The 23,600-nt window shown below is 33.6% G+C and overlaps 2 protein-coding genes across 3 annotated transcripts in view; both read left to right on the top strand.

Annotated features, from left to right (window-relative positions):
* The window catches only part of ABCA5 (ATP binding cassette subfamily A member 5), an 82,823-nt gene extending 62,617 nt beyond the window's left edge, over positions 1 to 20,206 (top strand). For both annotated transcript variants that reach the window (NM_172232.4, NM_018672.5), the window contains 15 exons: positions 2,769 to 2,882; positions 3,258 to 3,392; positions 4,105 to 4,179; positions 4,720 to 4,811; positions 8,234 to 8,360; positions 8,667 to 8,784; positions 8,883 to 8,974; positions 10,027 to 10,202; positions 10,648 to 10,723; positions 10,850 to 10,944; positions 12,651 to 12,770; positions 13,896 to 14,045; positions 14,533 to 14,612; positions 16,200 to 16,255; positions 16,873 to 20,206. In NM_172232.4, coding sequence (NP_758424.1) covers positions 2,769 to 2,882; positions 3,258 to 3,392; positions 4,105 to 4,179; positions 4,720 to 4,811; positions 8,234 to 8,360; positions 8,667 to 8,784; positions 8,883 to 8,974; positions 10,027 to 10,202; positions 10,648 to 10,723; positions 10,850 to 10,944; positions 12,651 to 12,770; positions 13,896 to 14,045; positions 14,533 to 14,612; positions 16,200 to 16,255; positions 16,873 to 16,980 — 1,614 coding nt within the window. In that variant the 3' untranslated portion in view covers positions 16,981 to 20,206. The remainder of the gene's footprint in view (positions 1 to 2,768; positions 2,883 to 3,257; positions 3,393 to 4,104; positions 4,180 to 4,719; positions 4,812 to 8,233; positions 8,361 to 8,666; positions 8,785 to 8,882; positions 8,975 to 10,026; positions 10,203 to 10,647; positions 10,724 to 10,849; positions 10,945 to 12,650; positions 12,771 to 13,895; positions 14,046 to 14,532; positions 14,613 to 16,199; positions 16,256 to 16,872) is intronic.
* The window catches only part of ABCA10 (ATP binding cassette subfamily A member 10), a 96,842-nt gene continuing 92,910 nt past the window's right edge, over positions 19,669 to 23,600 (top strand). Inside the window, exon 1 of the mRNA NM_080282.4 lies at positions 19,669 to 19,988. The gene's annotated coding sequence lies outside the window, so the exon portion shown is untranslated. The remainder of the gene's footprint in view (positions 19,989 to 23,600) is intronic.

The raw sequence follows: 23,600 nt of genomic DNA, 5'->3' as shown, positions 1-23,600 counted from the left end.
AAAGTGATCTTTCATGTAGACCACCTACTTGGGTGTAATCAGGAACGTTTTAATATATTCCTTCCTTAAAATGCCTTCCTTCGTTTTTCTTATGCCTGAAAATAATTTCACAAAGGATAAGCTCTTTTATTCCATAGTTTAAAATATAGCTTAACATTTCTCTATCTCAATAATGGGCAGGCTGCGAGCCAGATGAAGAACACAACTCCATTTACAATAGCCACAAAAAATTAAAATACCTAGGAATACATCTAACAGAGGAGATGAAAGATCTCTACAGGGAGAACTACAAAACATTGGTGAAGGAATTCAGAGATGATACAAGCAAATGGAAAAAAATTTCATGCTCATGGATTAGAAGACTCAATATATTAAAGTGGCCATACTGCCCAAAGCAATCTACAGATTCAACACTATTCCTATCAAACTACCAACATTATTCATCACAGAATTTTAAAAAGCTATTCTAAAATTCATATGGAACCCCAAAAGTACCCAGATGGCTAAAGGAATCCTACATAAGCTGGGCGCGGGGGCTCATGCCTATAATCCCAGCACTCTGGGAGACCGAGACGGGTGGATCACGAGGTCAAGAGATCAAGACCATCCTGGTCAACATAGTGAAACACCATCTCTACTAGAAATACAAAAAAATAGCTGGACGTGGTGGCATGCGCCTGTAGTCCCAGCTACTCAGGAGGCTGAGGCAGGAGAATCGCTTGAACCGGGGAGGTAGAGGTTGTGTTGAGCCAAGATCGTGCTACTGCACTCAAGCCTGGGCAACAGAGAGAGACTTTTTATCAAAAAAAAAAAAAAAAAGGAATCCATGTAAAAAGAACAAAGCCAGAGGCATTTCATTACCTGACTTCAAACTATACTATAAAGGCTCCAGTGACCAAAACAGCATGGTATTGGTACAAAAACAGACATGTAGACCGATGAAACAGAATGGAGGACCCAGAAATAAAGCCACACATCTATAGCCATCTGATCTTCAACAAAATTGATAAAAATAAGCAATAGGAAAGGACTCTGTGTTCAATAAATGGTGCTGGGATAGCTGGCTAGCCATATTCAGAAGAATGAAATTGGACCTCCACCTTTCACCGTATGTAAAAAGTAACTCAAGATGGATTAAAGATTTAAGGGTAAGACATCAACTATAAGAATTCTACAAGAAAACATAGGAAATACCATTCTGGACCTTGGGAAAGAATTTATGGGTAAATAAGTCTTCAAAAGCAATTGCAACAGAAATAAAAATTGACAAGTGGCACCTAATTAAACTAAAGAGCTTCTGCACAGCAAAAGAAACTATCAACAGAGTAAATGGATAACATACAGAATGGGAGAAAATACAAACTATGCATCCAACAAAGGCCAAGTATCCAGAATCTATAAGGCACTTAAACAATTCAGCAATCAAAAAACAAAACTCCATTAAAAAGTGGGCAAAAGATATGAACAGACACTTCTCAAAAGAAGACATGCAAATGGACAACAAATGTATGAAAAAATGCTCTACATCACTAATCATCAGAGAAATGTAAATCAAAACCACAGTAAGATACCATCTCATGTCAGTTAGAATGGCTATGATTAAAAAGTCAAAACCAACAGATGCTGGCGAGGCTGCAGAGAAAATGAAATGCTTATATACTCTTATATACTCTTGGTGGGAATGTAAACTTCAGCAGCCATGGAAAGCAGTTTGGAGAGTTCTCAAAAAACTTAAAACAGAACTACCTTATAACTCAGAAACCCCATTACTGGGTATATATCCAAAAGAAAATAAATCATTCTACCAAAAAGACACATGAGTATGTTCATTGCAGCACTATTCACAATAGCAAAGACATGGAATCAACCTAGGAGCCCATTGACCAGTGATTGAATAAAGAAAGTGTGGTACATATACACCACGGAATACTGAGCAGCCATAAAAAAGAATGAAATTATGTCTGTTGCAGCAGCACAGGTGCAGTTGGAGGCCATTATTCTAAGTGAATTAACAAAGGAACAGAAAACCAACTATTGCATGTTCCCACTTATAAATGGGAGCTAAATTGGGTAAACATGGACATAAAAATGGCAACAGTAGACACTGGGCACTACTAGACGGGGGCAGGAGGAAGGGGAGCAAGGGTTGAAAAACTAACTGTTAGGTACTGTGTCCAGTACCTAGGTGACAGAATGAATTATACCCCAAACCTCAGCATCATGCAGTATACCCATGTAACACACCTGCACATGTATCCCCTGATTCTAAAGTAAAACTAGAAATTACTTAAAATAAAATATAGCTTAAAATATCAAAGAAGAGACTGATTTGCATTCATGTTCACATGTAAATGACTGACAGCAGGCCCTTTCATTGATTACTTTATTAGGAAAAAGGGAAAACAGAGTTACATGAGGTTGATGCTGAAAGTAAATTTACCGATTTTGTCAGAGATCATAATGACCTTATATATTAGTTTCTGCCATATAAAATAATAATGTTTTTCTTACACATTAAAAAATAAAGTGCTGTATATTAAAATAGTAGCTAATATTTGAGAGAGAGAACGTTGTAGCTAGCTATACTTGCTTTTTATAATAATGAGAGATAGTATTTTACTTGGTACAAAAAACTACAAGTAGTGTTCAGTTTAAATGATTTATTTAGGATTATATTAATAATTTCATATTTTAATATGGCTAGTATTTCATGTCATGTGTATTGCAAGCTATTCATATTTTTATAGAAACATATTTCTGATTTACAGGTTTTTTGCCTTATTGGTTATGTTCCATCAGTTATTCTGTTCACTTATATTGCTTCTTTCACCTTTAAGAAAATTTTAAATACCAAAGAATTTTGGTCATTTATCTATTCTGTGGTAAGTCACATTTTACATTATTTCAACTTTCCATAGCAGTTTAATTAACATGAATTCTTTCCTGATTATACTAAAAATGTTACATGTCTTTTGTAAGTGAATAATTTAGATAGGTAATTGGCAGCTTCTTTTTGTGTGTACATTTGTCTTCTGAATCATCCTTTCCACGTAGGAACAATATGGAAGAGATTTAGCAACTAGTGTATCAAGGATACTAGCTACAAACAAGTGGTATTCTTGTTGCTTGCTGGCTAAATATCATCTCTTGTTCCATGTTTTATTAGAGGATTGAAAAAATAGTTTAATGCGTAGACACCAATTTGTAAGAAGTTTCTAAACACTTTGTCACTTTTATTTATTTATTTTTTTCTTTAGGCAGCGTTGGCTTGTATTGCAATCACTGAAATAACTTTCTTTATGGGATACACAATTGCAACTATTCTTCATTATGCCTTTTGTATCATCATTCCAATCTATCCACTTCTAGGTTGCCTGATTTCTTTCATAAAGGTAATTCTGCTAAATATTTTAATATGTTAAAAAACATAAAATAAATATGGTCTAATTTGGGGATGTTAGTTCTTGTATAGAAAACAGTAAAATGCATTGGGCTAATGGCTACTACTTGATTTAGATATTATTAATGCAGCATAAATTATTGTGAGCTCTTGTCAAACTGTAAATTCTCAAAGGAAAAGGGCTATGTTCATTACAGGTTCTCTCATGCTCAAAATGATGTATATAATTAGAAGTGTGACATGGTTTCAGTCAGTATTTGTTTTTAGGAGTTTATCAGTGATTAAATAACGTATTTCACTATAAAGGGATGAGAAAGAATAAAGTGTAAGAGATTTTCTCCAAGAAAAAATAGAGACAAAAACCAGATTGATTTTATTAAGGCTGGATAATTGAAAGAAATTTCCATGTGATTAGAAAAAATATTGTTATGAATTCTTGGTTTGGAATTGCTAATTAATTCTACTTACTAATCCTACTACCCCTGCTTCCCTTTTTAGGTCTCAGTTCAATGTGTTTAATTTATACTGATCCTCAGAAATATTTTGGGACAGGGAAGATTTTAAGTAAAAAACATAACTTACTAATATGAACAGCTAACTTATTATAGAAAGTACACGTTTGCTAAACAAAATACATTTTTTCATTTTAATCCAAATATTTCTACATATTGCAGCGTATATATTTTCAAATCTTTTTGTCTTAGATTTCTTGGAAGAATGTACGAAAAAATGTGGACACCTATAATCCATGGGATAGGCTTTCAGTAGCTGTTATATCGGTAAGAAATAAAGTGTTTTTGTGAATTAGCATGTACCTTAAGAATGGTTTGGTCCTATGGTTTTAACTATGTTTAGTTTTTTATCCTGTTGCATGAAAAAGAAGGTGCATAAAAAGTTAAGCATGTTAGTTAACGCTAGCTAATCTGTATTTCAGTGGGGAGTACCTTTCATTTACTGAATATGTTCACTTTAATATACTTAGCCTTTTACATGTTATTAATTCTGTTTAATTACAGTTCTGTCTTAGAAGCAAAAACAAAGTTTTTGTGTTCGATTATATTTTATGAAGCTGACAATAAATGAATGATACAGAGGCAGAAAATATGTGAATAATTTGCTAAAAATAATTCTGCTTTGGTTTGTATTAAAATTTATTTTTAATTATCTTTATCATGTAAAATATAAAAAAGTTGTGATTACTTCTTTTGGTAATGGCAAGGAACTTGATGTATGTAGTCTTAGTTCTGTTGGCAAAGGAAAAAACAACAACAACAACAACAAATCTTTTAGTCATGAGCTGCTACATGTTCTTCTTTTAGCCTTACCTGCAGTGTGTACTGTGGATTTTCCTCTTACAATACTATGAGAAAAAATATGGAGGCAGATCAATAAGAAAAGATCCCTTTTTCAGGTCAGTTGATTTTTTAAAAATTTTAAATGTTTTTAGTATATTTACAGAACTGTGTAACCATTACCATAACATAATTTTGGAACATTTCCAGCACTCCAAAAAGAAACTTTGTACCCATTAACAGCCACTTTCTTATCCCTATTCCCATAGCTCCCAGTCTTAGGTAACCACTAATCTACTTTCTGTTTCTGTCAGATTTGCCTGTTCTGAACACTTTATATAACTGGACAATGGAAATATGCTTTGGAAAACTTGAGTCAAAAGACCAACAATTCTCTTAAATACCTTGTATTTAACTTTTATATCTGTTTGCTTTTTACCATAGTTGGTTGGCATGTTATTTTAATGTTGGAAAATCATCAGATTTGCCAGATAACATCTTTGAAAAATTGCTAGGATTTGGGCACTATAATTAGTATCTAGCATATGGTTTTACACTTAGTATAATGTTTGGAGGGCTTATCATGTAGTCGTGTGTAGCACTTTTTATATATCTTAATGAGTTGCTTTTACTTTTCAACTATTATGAACAATGCTGCTATGAATTCAGCTATTATGAACAATGTTGCTAGTTTGTATACAACTGTTTGTATGGACATATATTTTCATTTCTCTTGGGTGGATACCTAGAAATGGGATTGCTGGGTCATTTGAGGAATTGCCAGACTGTTTCTAAAGTGGTAATACCATTTTACACTCCCGCTAGGAATGTTTTAGGGTTCTATTTTCTCCACATCCTTGCCAATGCTTGTTATTGTTTGTCTTTTTTACATATTCTTCCAAATATATTAGCTAATTTGTTTTTACTTTTTCTTCTATCCAGCCTTGCTTACATGATTCATCACTTTATTATCATTTCAGCATCCTCAACTTTTGTCTTTTCGAACTGTCCACTAAAAATTATAATTATTGGTGAATCGAATTATATGCTGGAAAAAATAACATAAAAGTTCCATTTGATAATACTACATATTTATTCCATATAAATTCAGCTGGTTTTTTAAAAAAAATATTTTAGATTTGGGGGTAAATGTGCATGTTTGTTAGCTGGGTATATTGCATACTGGTGGGGATTGGGCTTCTATTGTAACATTACCCAAATGGTGAACGTTGTACCTAATAGGTAGTTTTTCAACCCTTATCCCCACCCCCTTTTGGAGTCCACAGTCCTAGTGTTTCCATGTTTATGTTCATGTGTATCCACTGATAAGTGAGAACATGTTGTATTTGATTGTCTGTTTATAAGTGAGAACTTATAAGTGAGAACATGTGGTATTTGATTGTCTGTTCCAAATTAGTTCACTTAGGATAATGGTCTCCAGTTCCATCCATGTTGCTGTAAAGAACATAATTTCATTCTATTTATGGCTGTGGAGTATTCCATGGTGTATATGTACCATATTTTCTTCACCCAGTCAACTGTTGATGGACTCTTAGGTTGGTTCTATGACTTTGCTATTGTGAATAGTACCATGATGAACATATGAGTTCAGGTGTCTTTTTTATGTAATGATTTTTTTTTTCCTTTGGATATATATCCAGTAGTAGGATTGCTGGGTTGAATGGTAGTTATATTTTAATACTGTTTGGTAACGAATAACATTTTCCTAGTTAGCACCTTCTTATCTCTTTCTTTTCAATAGTTATTCAAAGCTTTCTCTTTATTCCTTGTATTCCTCAAATCACCTTATCTTACTTCCTACTTCTCAGTAAATAATCTTGTCATTTATCTCAGAAAATAGAAGCACTTAATTATAAGTTATAAATTTCTACAAACTTACTCACATCTTCCATCATTTTTGCCTTTTCCCAGTCCTAGAGGAAGCAGCAGTCCATCCTATTACCCAAATCTTCATTTATTCTATATACTTGGAATATTGCTCAATTTTCTTTTTCTCTTTTTCTCTTTCCTTTCTGGATCTCAAAAGTGTATTTTTTCTCTTTTTCTCTTTCCTTTCTAGATCTCAATAGTGTATTTTTTTCTCTTTTTCTCTTTCCTTTCTGGATCTCAGTGGTATATTTTTGGGGTTGGGGAGGGTCACCTTTCTTTCATATATGAAAGAACCCATGGATCTCATTTGAACATGAATCCATCCCTAATTCCTATTCTATATCTCTCTTTCCTTTCATAGCCAAAATTCTTCTATCTCCAGTTACTCACCTTCCATCCACTCCTATAACTCCCTGCAATCTGGGTTTTCCCTTACCTTTCCATTGATACTATTTTCAATAAGATAACTAATGATTTTGTCTTTTCATTGTCTAATAGGCTCAACTTATTTAACTAATCTGCAGGCTTTAATATGATTGACATTGTTCTCCTTACACATTTTTCTTTTTTTTTTTTTTTTTGAGATGGAATCTCACTCTGTCACCCAGGCTGGAGTGCAGTGGCATGATCTCAGCTCACTGGTTGAAACGATTCTTCTGCCTCAGCCTCCCAAGTAGCTGGGATTACAGGCATGTGCCACCACACCTGGTTAATTTTTGTATTTTATTTTTTAGTAGAGACAGGGTTTCTCCATGGTGGCTAGGCTGGTGTTGAACTGCTGACCTCAAGTGATCTGCATGCCTCGGCTTCTTAAAGTGCTAAGATTACAGGCAGGAGCCACTGCGCCTGGCCACATTTTTCTTGTTCCTTTGTTTTCCATTATGTCTTCTGTTTGCCTCTGTACTTCAAAATTGCCTTTGCAAGCACTTCATCCTCTGTCTATCCCTAAAAATGGTGTTACTGTGGGTTCTGATGTCAACCCTCTACATCTACTCTTTCTGGGCAATTTCATTTATACTCAGGTTGTAAATTTTTTGAGGGCAAGGTTCATGTTTTTTCATCTTTCTTTCTGTGTAATAATACCTGACACCTACTAGTCATAAATAATATTGTTGAATAAATGAATGAATTTAGATAATATCGTCCAAATGTTATCAGTCATTGAAAAATAATGCTTGTGGCTGGGCATGGTGGCTTGAACCTGTAATCCCAGTACTTTGGGAGGCTGAGGCAGGTGGATCTTTTGAGGCCAGGAGTTTGAGACCAGCCTGGGCAACATGGTGAAACCCTGTCTCTACTAAAAATACAAAAATGAGCCGGGCATGGTGGCGCGTGCCTGTAATCCCAGCTACTCAGGAGGCTGAGGCAGGAGAATCGCTTGAACCCAGGAGGCAGAGGTTATAGTGACCTGAGATCGTACCACTGCACTCCAGCCTGGGCAACAGAGTGTGAGACCCTGTCTTAAAAAAAAAAAAAAAGAAAGAAAGAAAGAAAAAAAAAGAAATATCGCTTATAATTCCACCTTTCAGAGATAATCCTAGATCTTATGTTAGTGTATTTTTTCAGTCTTTTCTCTACCTAGTATCTGAATTTCTTACTATTTTAATTATTTGAAAACCTACTGTCTTTTATATTTATTATATATATGTAGAAACCTTTCAACGAAGTCTAAAAATAGGAAGCTTCCAGAACCACCAGACAATGAGGATGAAGATGAAGATGTCAAAGCTGAAAGACTAAAGGTCAAAGAGCTGATGGGTTGCCAGTGTTGTGAGGAGGTAATTTATTCTTTATGGCTAAGTCATAGTAAATATGAAATGATCAATTCCCGGTATATAGAAATTAATCTGAAAAATATTTTTCTTTGCATATGAAGCAATCTGAAAAAAATCTTTCTTGGAAAAAAATACTTCGTTTACTTACTTTTGAATAAGCCAGAATTTCAGTCATAAATGGATATTTATTTGTACAGTATCCCCTTATTAGCCAATATAATTTTTGTAATATGGATATGAGGTATGTGCAGCCTGTCATTTCATGATAAGTTTTATAACTTTCTTTTTAAATACAATTTTTCTTATTAGAAACCATCCATTATGGTCAGCAATTTGCATAAAGAATATGATGACAAGAAAGATTTTCTTCTTTCAAGAAAAGTAAAGAAAGTGGCAACTAAATACATCTCTTTCTGTGTGAAAAAAGGCTGGTATTTAATTTTTCCTTACATAACTTTTCTAGAAGAGTAATTTCTACTTTTAGTATGATTTGATTATGATTTTTTTTTCTTTCAATTCCTTTAGGAGAGATCTTAGGACTATTGGGTCCAAATGGTGCTGGCAAAAGCACAATTATTAATATTCTGGTTGGTGATATTGAACCAACTTCAGGCCAGGTATGATATATAAGAGTATAGGATATGTTGAATGTGATTTATATTGTTAATTAACATAAACTTTTAGTGACAAATTCGGATTTTATATTCAATTTTTATGTATATTTTTAGAATTTTTTGTACAGCCTGATCAAATTATGATCTTTTGGGTTATCTGTAAAAATAATGTGCATGGTGAAATTTTCATAGACACATGTAGACACACGCATATACAGTATTTCTGCTTTTGTAATGCTTACATGCGTGAGTTATTTGTCTACCAACTTAATGGAAGACAGTTTTATTAGCTTCAGGAGATATGGGAGCTTGTTTTGACCTGCCATCAGCTAGTCTTTTATTATAAGCATGTCACTGACCACTTTGTGGATACTTCACAAAACTACCCTGATCCCATTTCCTGCTTCTCTCCCCTTGCTTACTTTATGCCAGCCACACTAACTCATTGCTTTCCTGGAAAATGCCAGGCATACTCTTTTCTTTGGGTTTTTGCCCAAGATGTTTTCTTTGTTTGGCTATACCTTATACCCTAGAAATACATATACTAAATTCACTTACCTCTTTGGCTCAAATGTCACCTTCCAGTGAAGCTCCCTGATCATTAGAATTACATCTTGCTTTTTCATCCAACTCTGTATTACCCTTTCTGACCAAGTCTCTGAACTCTGACTTAGCTTTATATGTCCTTCCATCATCAAACATCAAAAAGGAGTAAAACATCTGGGCGGGTGCAGTGGCTCATTCCTGTAATCCCAGCACTTTGGGAGGCTGAGGCAGGAGGATCACTTGAGCTCAGGAATTCAAGACTAGCCTGGGCAACGTAGTGAGACATCTTCCCTCCTAAAATTCAAAAAAGAAAAAAGCAATAGCCAGGCATGGTGGCACATGTTTGTAGTCTCAGTTACTTAGTGATAATAATAATAATGACAATAAAGGAGTACAAATCTGACTTGATATTAGTCTGGCTGTAGGAAGGGGTTTTAATTAATGTACTTGCCACTTCCTTCACAGTGTAAATTAAGCAAAATAATAAAAATTGGTTTGTGTTTCTATAGGTATTTTTAGGAGATTATTCTTCAGAGACAAGTGAAGATGATGATTCACTGAAGTGTATGGGTTACTGTCCTCAGATAAACCCTTTGTGGCCAGATACTACATTGCAGGAACATTTTGAAATTTATGGAGCTGTCAAAGGAATGAGTGCAAGTGACATGAAAGAAGTCATAAGTCGGTAAAATAATTGTCTTTAGATTCCTTTTGTTACTTAGAGGAAAGGTTTGCATTTCATATTTTTAAAATTTCATAACAAGCATTTCTGTGGACAATGATTTTTATAGAAAATGTTTATTACTTTTTCATATATTCTTTATGATATATGAAAATATACTGATAGCTGTAAATTATGATAGTTATAAAAAGGTCATTTTTTAATTTCTAGTTACAGGATAAATATACCTATAGATATCATGAAACTTATTTTAATTCAAAGTGAACCATTTTATCAAGATATTAATTTATTTAAAATGATGTAAATTGGAGACTTTTGCCCTTACCTACTTATAATAAGCTTCGACTAAGTAACTATTCTAGAGAAAACAACATCAGGGATCACACCCAGTTGGTATTTGTGTTTATATATATCATGGTATTCTCATTTTGTATTGTTCATTTTGCAGAATAACACATGCACTTGATTTAAAAGAACATCTTCAGAAGACTGTAAAGAAACTACCTGCAGGAATCAAACGAAAGGTACTTTCATTAAACACCAAATAATGCCTGTATTTTTATTGATAGTTTAGTACCTGATATTGTCTTGATAGATTCCTTATAGTGAACCTTTGTTAATTTCCCACCCATCTTTTTCTTTCCATGTAGTTGTGTTTTGCTCTAAGTATGCTAGGGAATCCTCAGATTACTTTGCTAGATGAACCATCTACAGGTATGGATCCCAAAGCCAAACAGCACATGTGGTGAGTATGGTACTTGTGACACAGTACATGATACTTTAGAATAGAACAGTTTCTTTTATTATAATAGTTTAATGTTAGTTATATGTACATCTTGATTTTAAATCCTATTCAAACGATACACTAGTAATTAAAAATTAAATAGATTTAGAGATTTCCTTAAGCTTTTAAAACTTTGCATATTTTTCATGAAGTGTTCATAATATTTTACATATTCCGAAACAGAAATAAGCATGAGTCATTATTAAGATAAAGAGTTCTAGTGTTCTGAATAGTTTTTAAGTTTTTTTCTAGTCATTTAGCATACAAATGATCTTTTCCATAATAATAGTGTCTTAAATTTATGTTGAGACTCTTTCTAGGACAGTCATGCATTGCCTAATGACAGAGATACATTCTGAGAAAGGTGATGTTGTCGTTGTGCAAACATAATAGAGTGTACTTATATAAATCTCTGGGTGGTTATAGCCTACTACACACCTAGACTATATGGTATAGCCTATTACTCCTAGGCTATAAATCTGTAGAGCATGTCACTGCACTGAATACTGTAGGCAGTTGTAACACAATGGTATTTGTGTATCTAGATGTATCTAAACACAGAAAAGATACATTATAAAAGTATTATAATCTTATGGAATCACTGTTGGAAATGTGTTTCATCATTGACTGAAATGTCATTATGCAGTGCCTGTAAAGTACTAATTAGTTGAACAACTCTTTTTTTTTTTTTTTTTTTGAGTCAGAGTCTTGTTCTGTTGACCAAGCTGGAGTGCAGTGGTGCCGTCTTGGCTTACTGCAACCTCTGCTTCCCAGGCTGAAGCGATTCTCCTGCCTCAGCCTTCCAAGTACCTGGGACTACAGGCAAGAGCCACCAAGCCCGGCTAATTTTTTGTATTTTTGGTAGAGACAGGGTTTCACCATGTTGGCCAGGCTGGTCCCGAACTCCAGACCTCAGGTGATCCGCCCCCTTCGGCCTCCCAAACTGCTGGGATTACAGGTGTGAGGCACAGTGCCTGGCCTTGAACAACTCTTTAAGCCTCAACTTCCATGTCTATAAAATGTAAGGTTTGGTTTGGATGCATGTTACGGTTTTCTTATGATTCAAAGCCTGTTTTGGTTATAACATGAAAAGGCATCAATTTTAAAATTTATTTGTTGTCATACTTTTAGCCCATATTAACATTTGAAATCATAGATTTTTTTTTTCCATTTGACAAGCTTTCAAAATGAAGGGAAAATAAATTAGAATATAAAAGTCATGGCCTGGCGCAGTGGCTCACGCCTGTAATCCCAGCACTTTGGGAGGCTGAGGCAGCAGACCACGAGGTCAGGAGATCGAGACCATCCTGGCTAACACGGTGAAACCCCGTCTCTATTAAAAATACAAAAAAAAATTAGCCGGGTGTGGTGGCAGGCACCTGTAGTCCCAGCTACTCAGGAGGCTGAGGTAGGAGAATGGTGTGAACCTGGGAGGTGGAGCTTGCAGTGAGCCGAGATCGGGCCACTTCTCTCCAGCCTGGGGGACAGAGCGAGACTCCGTCTCAAAAAAAAAAAAATCATAGTTGGGCAGGATGTAATAGCCATAGCAATTGATATTTGGTAAGTTTTAATTAACTTAATTAACCAACCGGTTGGATTTTTAAAAACCCATTTTTTTTTAACAAACAGATGTGTTCCTCTCTTTTTGTTTTATTTATGTTTTATAGGCGAGCAATTCGAACTGCATTTAAAAACAGAAAGCGGGCTGCTATTCTGACCACTCACTATATGGAGGAGGCAGAGGCTGTCTGTGATCGAGTAGCTATCATGGTGTCTGGGCAGTTAAGGTTGATGTCTAAATAGCGTGCCATTCAGGGGAAGAGGTTGGGGGTTGGATTTTGAAAGTCATCATTTCAAAAACATGGCAATAGTTAGTAATTTAAATGTTAAATATTTTAGTTTTTGAGTTAGCTTTTGATAGATTGACTTGGAAGTATGTTGAGTTTTTTAAAAATATGGCTGTCTACTTTGAATTTGAATTCACTTAATATTTCAATAACTTGGAATATTATTTTTAGGCATAGTACTTGTTATTTCAAAAAATTGTTATATATTGGATTAATTATGTAACACAAATATGAAATAAACATATGAGTTTCTACTTACATAAATAAATAATTGAGTAAAGAAATGTGTCAGAGAAGAGGTACATCTTCCTTACAGAACAATTCCAAATAATAATATATGTAGATAATACCCACTTCAAGGGAGGAGGCTTAATCTCCTATCCCCCAAGTTTGGACGGGACTTAGCCAGTTTCTTGTAAAAAATGAACGACAGAAGGAGAAAAATAGTAACTTTACAGTTGAGAAAGCTGGCAAATACTACCTTAACTAAACGATGTTGTGCAGATATCATGTATTCACTGATATGATATGATGGAAAAAGTACTACAGCTGTGTAATATTCTCTCCAAAACCCATAACCCAAGTGTAGTCATGAGAAAAATATCAGACTAACCCAAATTGAGGGACCTTCTAACACACACCTGACCAGTACTTCTCAAAACTGTCAAAATCATGAAAAAGACAGAAAGAGTAAGAAACTGTCACCCACAGTTAGAGACTAAGGTGACGTGACAGCCAAGAACACTACGGTATCCTGGATAGAACCTGGAATAAACAAAGGACACTAATAGAAAATTGGTGAAATCTAAATAAAGTATGGAGTTCAGTGACAAGGAATGTACCAATGTCGGTGTCTCAGTTGTGAGGAATTTACCATGGTAATATAAGATGATAAGATTAGGGAAACTGAAACCGGATAAAGAGTGTATGGGGATGCTGTATTTTCTTTGTAATTTTTCTCTAAATATAAAGGTATATTTTTTTAAAATGTAGTTATATGTGTGAGAGATTATTCTTTGAAGCTGTCATTTTATATCTGAGCTTTCTTTTAAAAAATTACTTCAGATGTATCGGAACAGTACAACATCTAAAGAGTAAATTTGGAAAAGGCTACTTTTTGGAAATTAAATTGAAGGACTGGATAGAAAACCTAGAAGTAGACCGCCTTCAAAGAGAAATTCAGTATATTTTCCCAAATGCAAGCCGTCAGGAAAGGTAAAATTTTAAAGAATGTGGTTATATTTCTTTATAGAGCAAAGGTTATAAAAAGTTATTATATTAAGGATTAAGTGAAAAATCATCTTTTCATTCATAGACCATATATATATATATCTCTGTGTGTGAATATATATGTATATTTTTTCATATATATGAAATATATGTATCTGTAGATAGATAATTTATATATCTCTCTCTGTATTATCACCAATACTGGACTAATGAAGTCTGATGGCTGGTGTTTTATATCTGCCTTAGTATTAGATTTTTCAATATTCAGTAGTATTTAAATTTTTTTAACATTCTTAGTAGTAATGAGAGTTGTTTTGCATGAAAATGTTATTATTTTAAACAATTTTCATCCAACTAAATACCAAAATAAGTTATTGAATTTAATTTTGAATTTTAAACATGTTGAACTTTAGCTTTAGAACATAATAGTAGTAATTTTTAATTTTTTTCCATATTTTATCTTTTTTTCCAGTTTTTCTTCTATTTTGGCTTATAAAATTCCTAAGGAAGATGTTCAGTCCCTTTCACAATCTTTTTTTAAGCTGGAAGAAGGTAAGTAGTATCTTCTATTTTGGCTTATAAAATTCCTAAGGAAGATGTTCAGTCCCTTTCACAATCTTTTTTTAAGCTGGAAGAAGGTAAGTAGTTGAAAAGCACTTATGTTGTAGCTCTCAAATTATGAAAGAATTTTATTTAAAAAGTTTAAAACTGGGGACTCGGTTTATTTTAGAAACTATGGCAGATAAGAAGATAACCTTTTATTCATTTAATCTAAGACACAGGTAAACACTAATGTCATAGGGATTTTGTAGATAAACTCTATTGTAATGTAAACCTTTTACAATTTTTAGAGAGCATTGACACAGTTTATCACATTGCATCTATGAGAAGGGTCAGCTTAATTATCGAGTCTTTGCAGTTAGTCCAGCAGCAAGAGCTCTGAGTTTCTTGAATCCTTACTTCATACTGGTCCATAGAAGTAGCAACACTATCAAGACTCCAGTGGCAAAGAGAATTCTGAGTGTAGCGAGGGGTGGGCAGTCCCCAAAATTTTAAGGAAGCTTATAGAATCTTGGCATTTAAAAAATAAGTGGTATGTAGGATAAATATATATATGCTGGTGACAGTTGAGGGAGATCACCTCCTGGAAGAATCAGGTATTCATATGCAGATTATTTTATGGCATTTATAAACTGTGAAACAACCTATATTTATGTATAAGGTTTATTATTAATAATTTTCAAAATAACTACAGGATTTTTATGATTGTTCTTTATGTGATTACTGAATACAAAAAGATTTCCTGATACTGTATATATTCTTGTTGCAGCTATGGATTAATGGGTTTACTTTTGCCAAGAACACTAATTAATTATTTTTTGGTCTGTAATATATGGCCTGCATGATGTTCATTGTTTATTCATGTTTATTGGCCGGCATGGTGGTTCACACCTATAATCTCAGCACTTTGGGAGGCTGAGGCGGGAGGATCCCTTAAGCCCATGGTTCAAGACCAGCCTGAGCAACATAGTGAGACTCTGTTTTTACAAAATATTTTTTAAAATTACCCGGGTATAGTGGCATGTGCCTGTAGTCCCAGCTAACTCAGGAGGCTGAGGTGGGAAGATTGTTTGAGCCTGGGAGGTCGAGGCTGCAGTGAACCATGATTGTATACTTGCTGTGTTGCCCAGGCCACTGTATACCAGCCTGGGCAACAGAGCAAGACCTTGTCTTAAAAACAAAACAAAACAAAACAAAAGGTTTATGGAGATAGGACCAATATCCAGAATCTAGTTCAAGAAGCCAGAATAGGCTACAGTGGAGTTGGAGAATGGGAGATAAGAGAGCAGGGATCAAAAGAAGACATGAAAAGAATCACCAGGAAAAAGATAATGGAGGAGAACTTAGAAAAAGTGAAATAAGACAAGTAACATTCAACATACAGTACTTAGGGCTATAGAGGAATTATAGGTGTGGGGAAGAGAAAGGAAGTAAGCGGGAAAAATAACATGTTTTGGCAGCTTCAAATTTAAGTGGGTTGATTACAGAGATATTTTAAAACATTGTTAGCCACTTTGGTAGGTATTGCCATTTTTTTCAGATATTGATAAGTAAAATACTATTTTTATATTTTAATAGCTAAACATGCTTTTGCCATTGAAGAATATAGCTTTTCTCAAGCAACATTGGAACAGGTACTATAAAGTTAAATTTTTAAAAATTATTTTATAGAAGAAAGTATCTGATATCGATTGTTTTGGTTTATATTAGAGAGGGAGAGATATCGTAAACCAGTGACAAATTGGTACAGAATGATCTTAAACTTGGTATAATTTTAATCAACCTTAGGTTCTTCACTTACTAATTTTTTAAATTTTATTTTTTAAATTGATATTATTTTAAATTGACAAATCACACTGTTTATTGGGTACAGTGATGTTTTGATACATGTGTGCAATATGGAATGCTTAAATCAAGCTAACTTTCATTTGCTGATTTTGAATATCTGTTTTTTTCATTTTGTAAAGAAAGTGAGTCATGATGGTGGTGTTTCACATTAGTGTATTTGAAATTACATTGTTTAAGTAGTTATGAATTATTTTTTAAAAAACATATCTATTAATCTAAAATAGTATTCATCTTTGCATGTAACTTTTGAAAATAATCTGTTTGAATAATGTTAATGTTAATAAATCTCTTGATACTTGTTGATATAACTAGATATAGCCTTGTACCATTTCTGATTTAGTTAAAAGTTCTTTGAGGTACTTGAGATACAGCATACTGTATTCATTTATTTCTTTTCACCTAGGTTTTTGTAGAACTCACTAAAGAACAAGAGGAGGAAGATAATAGTTGTGGAACTTTAAACAGCACACTTTGGTGGGAACGAACACAAGAAGATAGAGTAGTATTTTGAATTTGTATTGTTCGGTCTGCTTACTGGGACTTCTTTCTTTTTCACTTAATTTTAACTTTGGTTTAAAAAGTTTTTTATTGGAATGGTAACTGGAGAACCAAGAACGCACTTGAAATTTTTCTAAGCTCCTTAATTGAAATGCTGTGGTTGTGTGTTTTGCTTTTCTTTAAATAAAACGTATGTATAATTAAGTGAAGCTGCATGTTTGTATTGAAGTATATTGAACTATATAGTTTGTATGTCATCTTTTTCACCATTCAGAAACAGTGCTTCTGAATTTGTGATTTAAAGGAATTGTAATAGAATAGTTTTATTTTTAAGTTATCTTTAAGTTTATGCCATCTTCTTAAATAAGTACGTAATGTTCCAATCTAAATAAAAAACTAATTCATAACTAATGCATAGAAAAGATACATAAAGCAATGTGAAAGTTTCTTGCTTCTCCTTTTTAATTTCTAAAAAAGCCACTTTGAATGGAAGTTGTCATCCGTAAAAGCTGAAGTGTAAGCACTAGGAAATCTCAATATAGAGATTTGAGGAAAGTTATATCCACTAGGTGGCAGTCATTGATCATAATAAGTGAAATGAGCCCTTGTTCTAGTACATGATTTTAGGCTTAGGTAATTAGGTATGTGAAATTACATTTCTTTAATTTAAAGTAAAATTCAGAAGGTTTTAGTTATTATAATTAAAGGAAGACTGTGTGTAGAATCTTACGTAATAGTCTGATTCTTTGACTCTGTGGCTAGAATGACAGTTATCTATGGAGGTGGTAGAATTAAGCCATACCTTTTCCTTCATCACTCTTGGAACATATAAATTTTTTGTCATCTTCCTTGCAAAGGGCACATTTAATTTTGTTCTTGAATAAAATATTTTATTGGGTATTTGTTTTTATTGGTAAACTTTAGTGAATCTCTTCTATAAAATTGTAAGTAGATCAGTGTGTAGATTTATTTAGTAACTTACCTCATTGACTTTGGAACATGGTAGGATATGAATAAACTCTTTCAAGGGTTAAATTAAGAATTGTAAGTGCAGTGCGCCTATTTCTTTTTAATAAGAACCAGAATTTCATTTTTGATAGAGTTAAAGGCATGGCTAATATTTTCTTAGAAATACTTCCTTGTACAACCCATGTATTGGCTCAAGGTATAAAATAGTGTAAATAATGCTAGTTGACATTACATTTCAACCAAATGAAAGTATTAACTTCATAAAACAAATATATTGAGAGTGTGATTATTGTATTAGACAACAACAACAGCAATGACAGAAGGATTTGGTACTGAATTACTTTAAATAAGCAAAACCTTTCAGTGGCATTATTCATTCTTTAATGTAGGCAAAATTTAATGAACTTTTAGCTTTATTGTGTAATAAGACATCTGTGATTTTAGGCTCTAGCAGTGGATTTAAAAGTGTTCTTTCTCGGTACAAAGTACGTGGCTGATATTTTCCCCCATTGCTGGGGGCAGTTGCTATACACTTTCCTAAAGTATATATAATGTTCACATAAATACCCAGGGACCTCTTTTTTGGGATGTGCTTTTGTAATTATGTGTAACCTTGAATACTTAAGTTTAGTAAAAGCAACAAAATTATATCTATAGTTTACTAAGGCAGTCACGAAAAAGCATAGTTTTTTTTAGAACCTGACCATCCTAAGAAAGTTATGTCATCTGAAGATAGAGCATGACTAATGAAGAAAATTACCTGCTTTTGCACGTAGATTTGGTAACTTTCACTTTACATTTGTGAATGTGTAATTGGTGCAAAGTAAATTTTTTTTCCTGCAAAGTGAAAGTTGAGTAGTCACAATCATGTTATTTATTTTGTTCATTTAGTTACTTTGCTTTTAATGTATATGAATACATGCTCTTGTAAACAATTTTAAAAGACATTCAAATTTTTTTTTAGTTTTTATATACTCAGAATATATTTTGGTTGTTAAATTAAATTATGTTCCCTTTTTCACAGTAACAAAATCTGACTCAGGAGAAATATAACTTAATTCTTAGGAAAACAAGGGTAAGTGAGCTGGAAAGCAAAGGAGGCAAAAAGTGAAATATATTTATTTACAGTGTACAGTTCATGTTTATGAACATACTAATTTTAAAATGTCTTAAATTACTGATCTCAAAACTTTTTTCTATGTCAGTACAGATAAATAAATAAATATACATATTAGGCAAAAGCAACATCACCAACCTTATATTTCCCATTCATGGTCAAATTTTCAAAGGAAAGTAAAAGCTGAGCTTTACTGAGTGAGTGTTTACTGACTAATAAGGCAAGAAAAAACATGATGAGTGTACTTTACATCTTACTTTTGTGGGCTCTTAATTTTTTTTTCTAGTTTGTTTTCAGTAAAGACAGTGGGTTTTCTTTAAAATAATTTTTTTCTTTTAAATTTGCACAAATTATCTTAGGTCAGTATTTTGGTTTTAATCATTAAAACATTTTTAGAGTAATGTAATTTAACAAATATTTTAAGTGATTATGTTTCCAGAAATGGATTCTTTGGAGAGAACTCGGATGACTATCAGTTTTGGCCCTGTAAGATCGTGGAGATCTGTAAGATAGATACTTATATAACTTACATAAAATATATATAATATATTACTTATATAACTTATATAACTAGCTATTATTTTATATAACTAACTATAATATGACAAATCCTTTGCTAGTAGTACTAACAACGTTTTATAGGAGCACAATTAATTTTACTTAGGATAAGTGTTGTTATTATTGTTTTTATTGTTGTTCTGTTAGTTACTCAAAACTTCATTCTAATTGTGCCCTGAGTTTGTTAAAATACCATACTGTATTTTTGTGTAACATGTAAATAGGCATTAATTTTTGAGAAATAGAAATGTTTATCCTTAATGTATTTTTAATTTGCTAACATTGATTTTTTATTTTCTTTCCTGAAATAGCTTATTTCCTAAAATGAAAGAATTTATTCTCAGATGAATAATTTTTATATCAGCTATTCTTATCAGGTAAAAGTTTAATTATTTTTTATTTATAATATATGTAAGCAATTCTCAATGCTGCTCTTTAAGAAAAATAAATATGATTATATTAATAATAAGCTTTAAGAGTTGAAAATTTAAGACAAGTCATTTTGTATACTGAAGTGAATTCTTTGTTATTTAGTGCTGATAATTGAATAATGAGTAGCTCATATTAAAAATGATGCAAAAACCTGGCACTAAAATTGTTAGTAATTTTTTTTAAGTATCTGAGGCTAGTTTTCAAGTGCAGAAGGAACATTGACAATTACTTTGTTTTAATTTACATTCAGATTTTAAACATAAACTAGGTATGTTTATAGATCTTTTTGTCTTGAATGTATTTTTTTGTAAATAGAAAGCAATCACTTTAACTTACACATTATCACATATAACAGGTTCAGTTACTCTCAGATATTTAACACTACTTACATATTTATCACTTTCCTTAGAATTTTTGAATGAATTGATTCATACAAACACTTAGGCAATATTTTAAACTTAATGAACAGATTCTTCCCAAGTGCCTAAACAACTCTTGCAAATTAAATTACCGTTTTAAATTAAAAAATCAAGTTCTCAAGAATTTCAAGCATCATTTGGTGTTTCTTTCGTTTTTGAGATAGGGTCTCACTTTGCTGCCTAGGCTGGAGTACAGTGGCACAATCCCGGCTCACTGCAGCCTCAAGCTCCCAGGCTCAGGTGATCCTCCCACCTCAGCCTCCTGAGTAGCTGGTACTACAGGCATGCACCACTGCACTCAGCTAATTTTCGTATTTTTTGTAGAGATGGGGTTTTGCCATGTTGCCCAGGCTGGTCTCAAACTCCTGGGCTTAAGGGATCCTCCTGCCTTGGCCTCCCAAAGTGTCGGAATTACAGGTGTGAACCACTGTACCTGGCCTTCAAGCATCGTAAAAATAGGCAAAATACACAAAACTTCCTGGTTATAAGGCTTGCAGCCACACTTGCATAAATATAGTAATGTGTTGCATAACAACATTTTGGTCAAAAATGGGCCACATAGTAAGATGATAAAATATAATACTGTATTTTTCTTGTACCTTTTCTATGTACACAAATATTTACTATTGTGTTACAGTTGCCTACAGTATTAAGTATAGTAGCATGCTGTCCAGGTTTGTAGCCTAGGACCAACAGGCTGTATCATATAGCCTAGATGTGTAATAGGCTATTGCCTTAGCACAGTGACAAAATTGCCTAATGATGCATTTCCCAGAACATATCCCTGTTGTTACGTGATGTGTGTGCAAGATTCTCAAATAAATACAGTATCAGTACACTAATCAGAAGTAATTTTTTCACCGTGTCTACATATATACCTTTGCAGAGTTACACATTTGCCAATAAAAGAGCTATCTCACACTATCAAAATTTATCCCTTTGATAATTTGAGACCAAGAGATGGATGCTAATTAGGTTTCTCAGTTAACAATTGGGACTGATCAAGGGGTATCTATCAACTAAACTAAATAATGATATAAGCATAGAACCTGGATCTGCCTTCTAAGACTAAACTGGCAACTGTTGAGGTGGCCCTTCTTTTATGTTCAAACTTTGATTTTTGAGCTTTAAGTTGTGAGTTAACCCAATCTAAGTTTCAGGTTTTTGCAACCCAGTATTTTCCGCTAAAACAAGATGTTTTTTAGGTTTTATTATTACGTTTCATCCAAATTCATGATAATAGGACTTTCCAGCTTCTGTGTTGTGACTATAGTATAACGTGCTTAATTAATGAAAATGAATTCCTCAGACCGGGTGCAGTGGCCCACACCTGTAATCCCAGCACTTTGGGAGGCTGAGGGTCAGTAGTTCGAGACCAGTCTGGCCAACATGGTGAAACCCTGTCTCTACTAAAAATATAAAATTAGCTGGGTGTGGTGGCACGTGCCTGTAATCCCAGTTAGTTGGGAGGCTGAGGCAGGAGGATTGCTTGAACCCAGGAGGCAGAGGTTGCAGTGAGCCAAGATCGCGCCACTGCACTCCAGCCTGGGCGGCAGAGCGAGACTCTGTCTCAAGAAAAAAACAGAAAGAAAGAAAATGAATTCCTCACCTGGGTTGCAATTTTACTTTCCTTTCTGTTTTGTAATTCTTATATGTCTAATTAACCATAATACTATAGTCATTTTACTGACAGAATAATACCATTATTGTTTTGGTTCACCTTATCTAATTTTTATTTATTAACATATCTTTGTCATATAGTTGTAGGAAAAGATGTTGAGTGCTAGTTGTGATGTATATGTATTGGCTAGTAATTTCTTTGGCCAAATTATACTATTGATATTGTTATGTGATTATGATGTAGTTGATATTGGTTTTCTGTTGACTACATTTAAATTCTCATACATCAGTGTACATGAAATCAAGTTTGTGATAGAATGAGATTAAAATTATACATCAAGCTTTACAAATTGGTAAGAAATCTCAGCTTCTAGTGTTATCATATCTGCTAATTTTAAAAGGCCTTATCTGTATCTTCTAATTCTTTAGTAAGTAGGCATCCTTTGAATTTACCTTCACCAAATTAAGACACTAGATAGTTTTTAGAGCCGTCTATGATGGTGCCTAAAGTCTTTAAGTTTCAAAGAAAGACTGCTTTTCATTATTATTCAGTATTCACAAATATTTTATTGTATGTCAGTTAAGAATCAAGCACTTTTCTAAGCACTAGGCATATACATTATTGAAACAATAGACAAAAGTCTCTGCCCTCACTGAGCTTTTATTATAGTAAGACAAATTACCTACTTTAAAAAAATACATAGTATGTTAGATGATGGGGAGGGAGATAAGGACTCTTGGTGCTGCAGATGAAAGCACACTGATCTCATGTAGGCAAGACTACACTGAGAAGGTGAGTTGGTACTGCAAGTACAAAGGCCCTGAGGCAAGGTGTGAGTGGCATATTTGAGAAACAGAACCAGTGAAGCTTTAGCTAACTGATTAAGGGGGACACTAGTGGAAGATGGGATCGAAAGGGCCCTTATGGACATTTTATTGACATTCAATGAGATCAGAAGTCATTGGAGGGTTTTGAGTAGAGGTGTGGCAACATTAGGCATATTTGAAAGGAACAGTTTAGCTGCTGTGTTGAAAATAATCAGATATGAGGGGACAGAGCACAAGAGACCTGTTAGGAGGCCATTGCATTTGATGAGGCAAGAGATGGTGAGTTGAATCAGGAAGGTGAATAAGAAGTGGTCTAATTCTGAATATTGAGAAGGTGGAGATTATAGTACATGGAGTATGGGAGAAAGGGAGTCAATGACACAAGGGCTTTTTGTTTTTTGTTTTGTCTGAGCCTCTGGAAGAGTAGAATTATCAGCAATTATGTCTCTGAACGTATCTTCTACTAGTATCATCAAGTGGATGAAGAAGACCGTGGAAGTTTAGGTTTGAGGATTTGAGGGAAAGATCAGTTTTGTATTTGTTAAGTTTGAGATGCTCATTAGACATCCAAGTGGAGATGTCCAGTGAGCAAAGGAAATAAATACTGGGAGCAGTGTTAGTTTTGGAACCCATTCACAAGCTGAGAGTCAGGGGGTATTGATGGTACAGCAAGGCCCTAGCAGTAGTGAA

This window comes from Homo sapiens, chromosome 17 (genome assembly GCF_000001405.40).
Source record: "Homo sapiens chromosome 17, GRCh38.p14 Primary Assembly".
NCBI classification, from domain to species: domain Eukaryota; kingdom Metazoa; phylum Chordata; class Mammalia; order Primates; family Hominidae; genus Homo; species Homo sapiens.
This window is presented reverse-complemented; position numbering and strand designations above follow the sequence as displayed.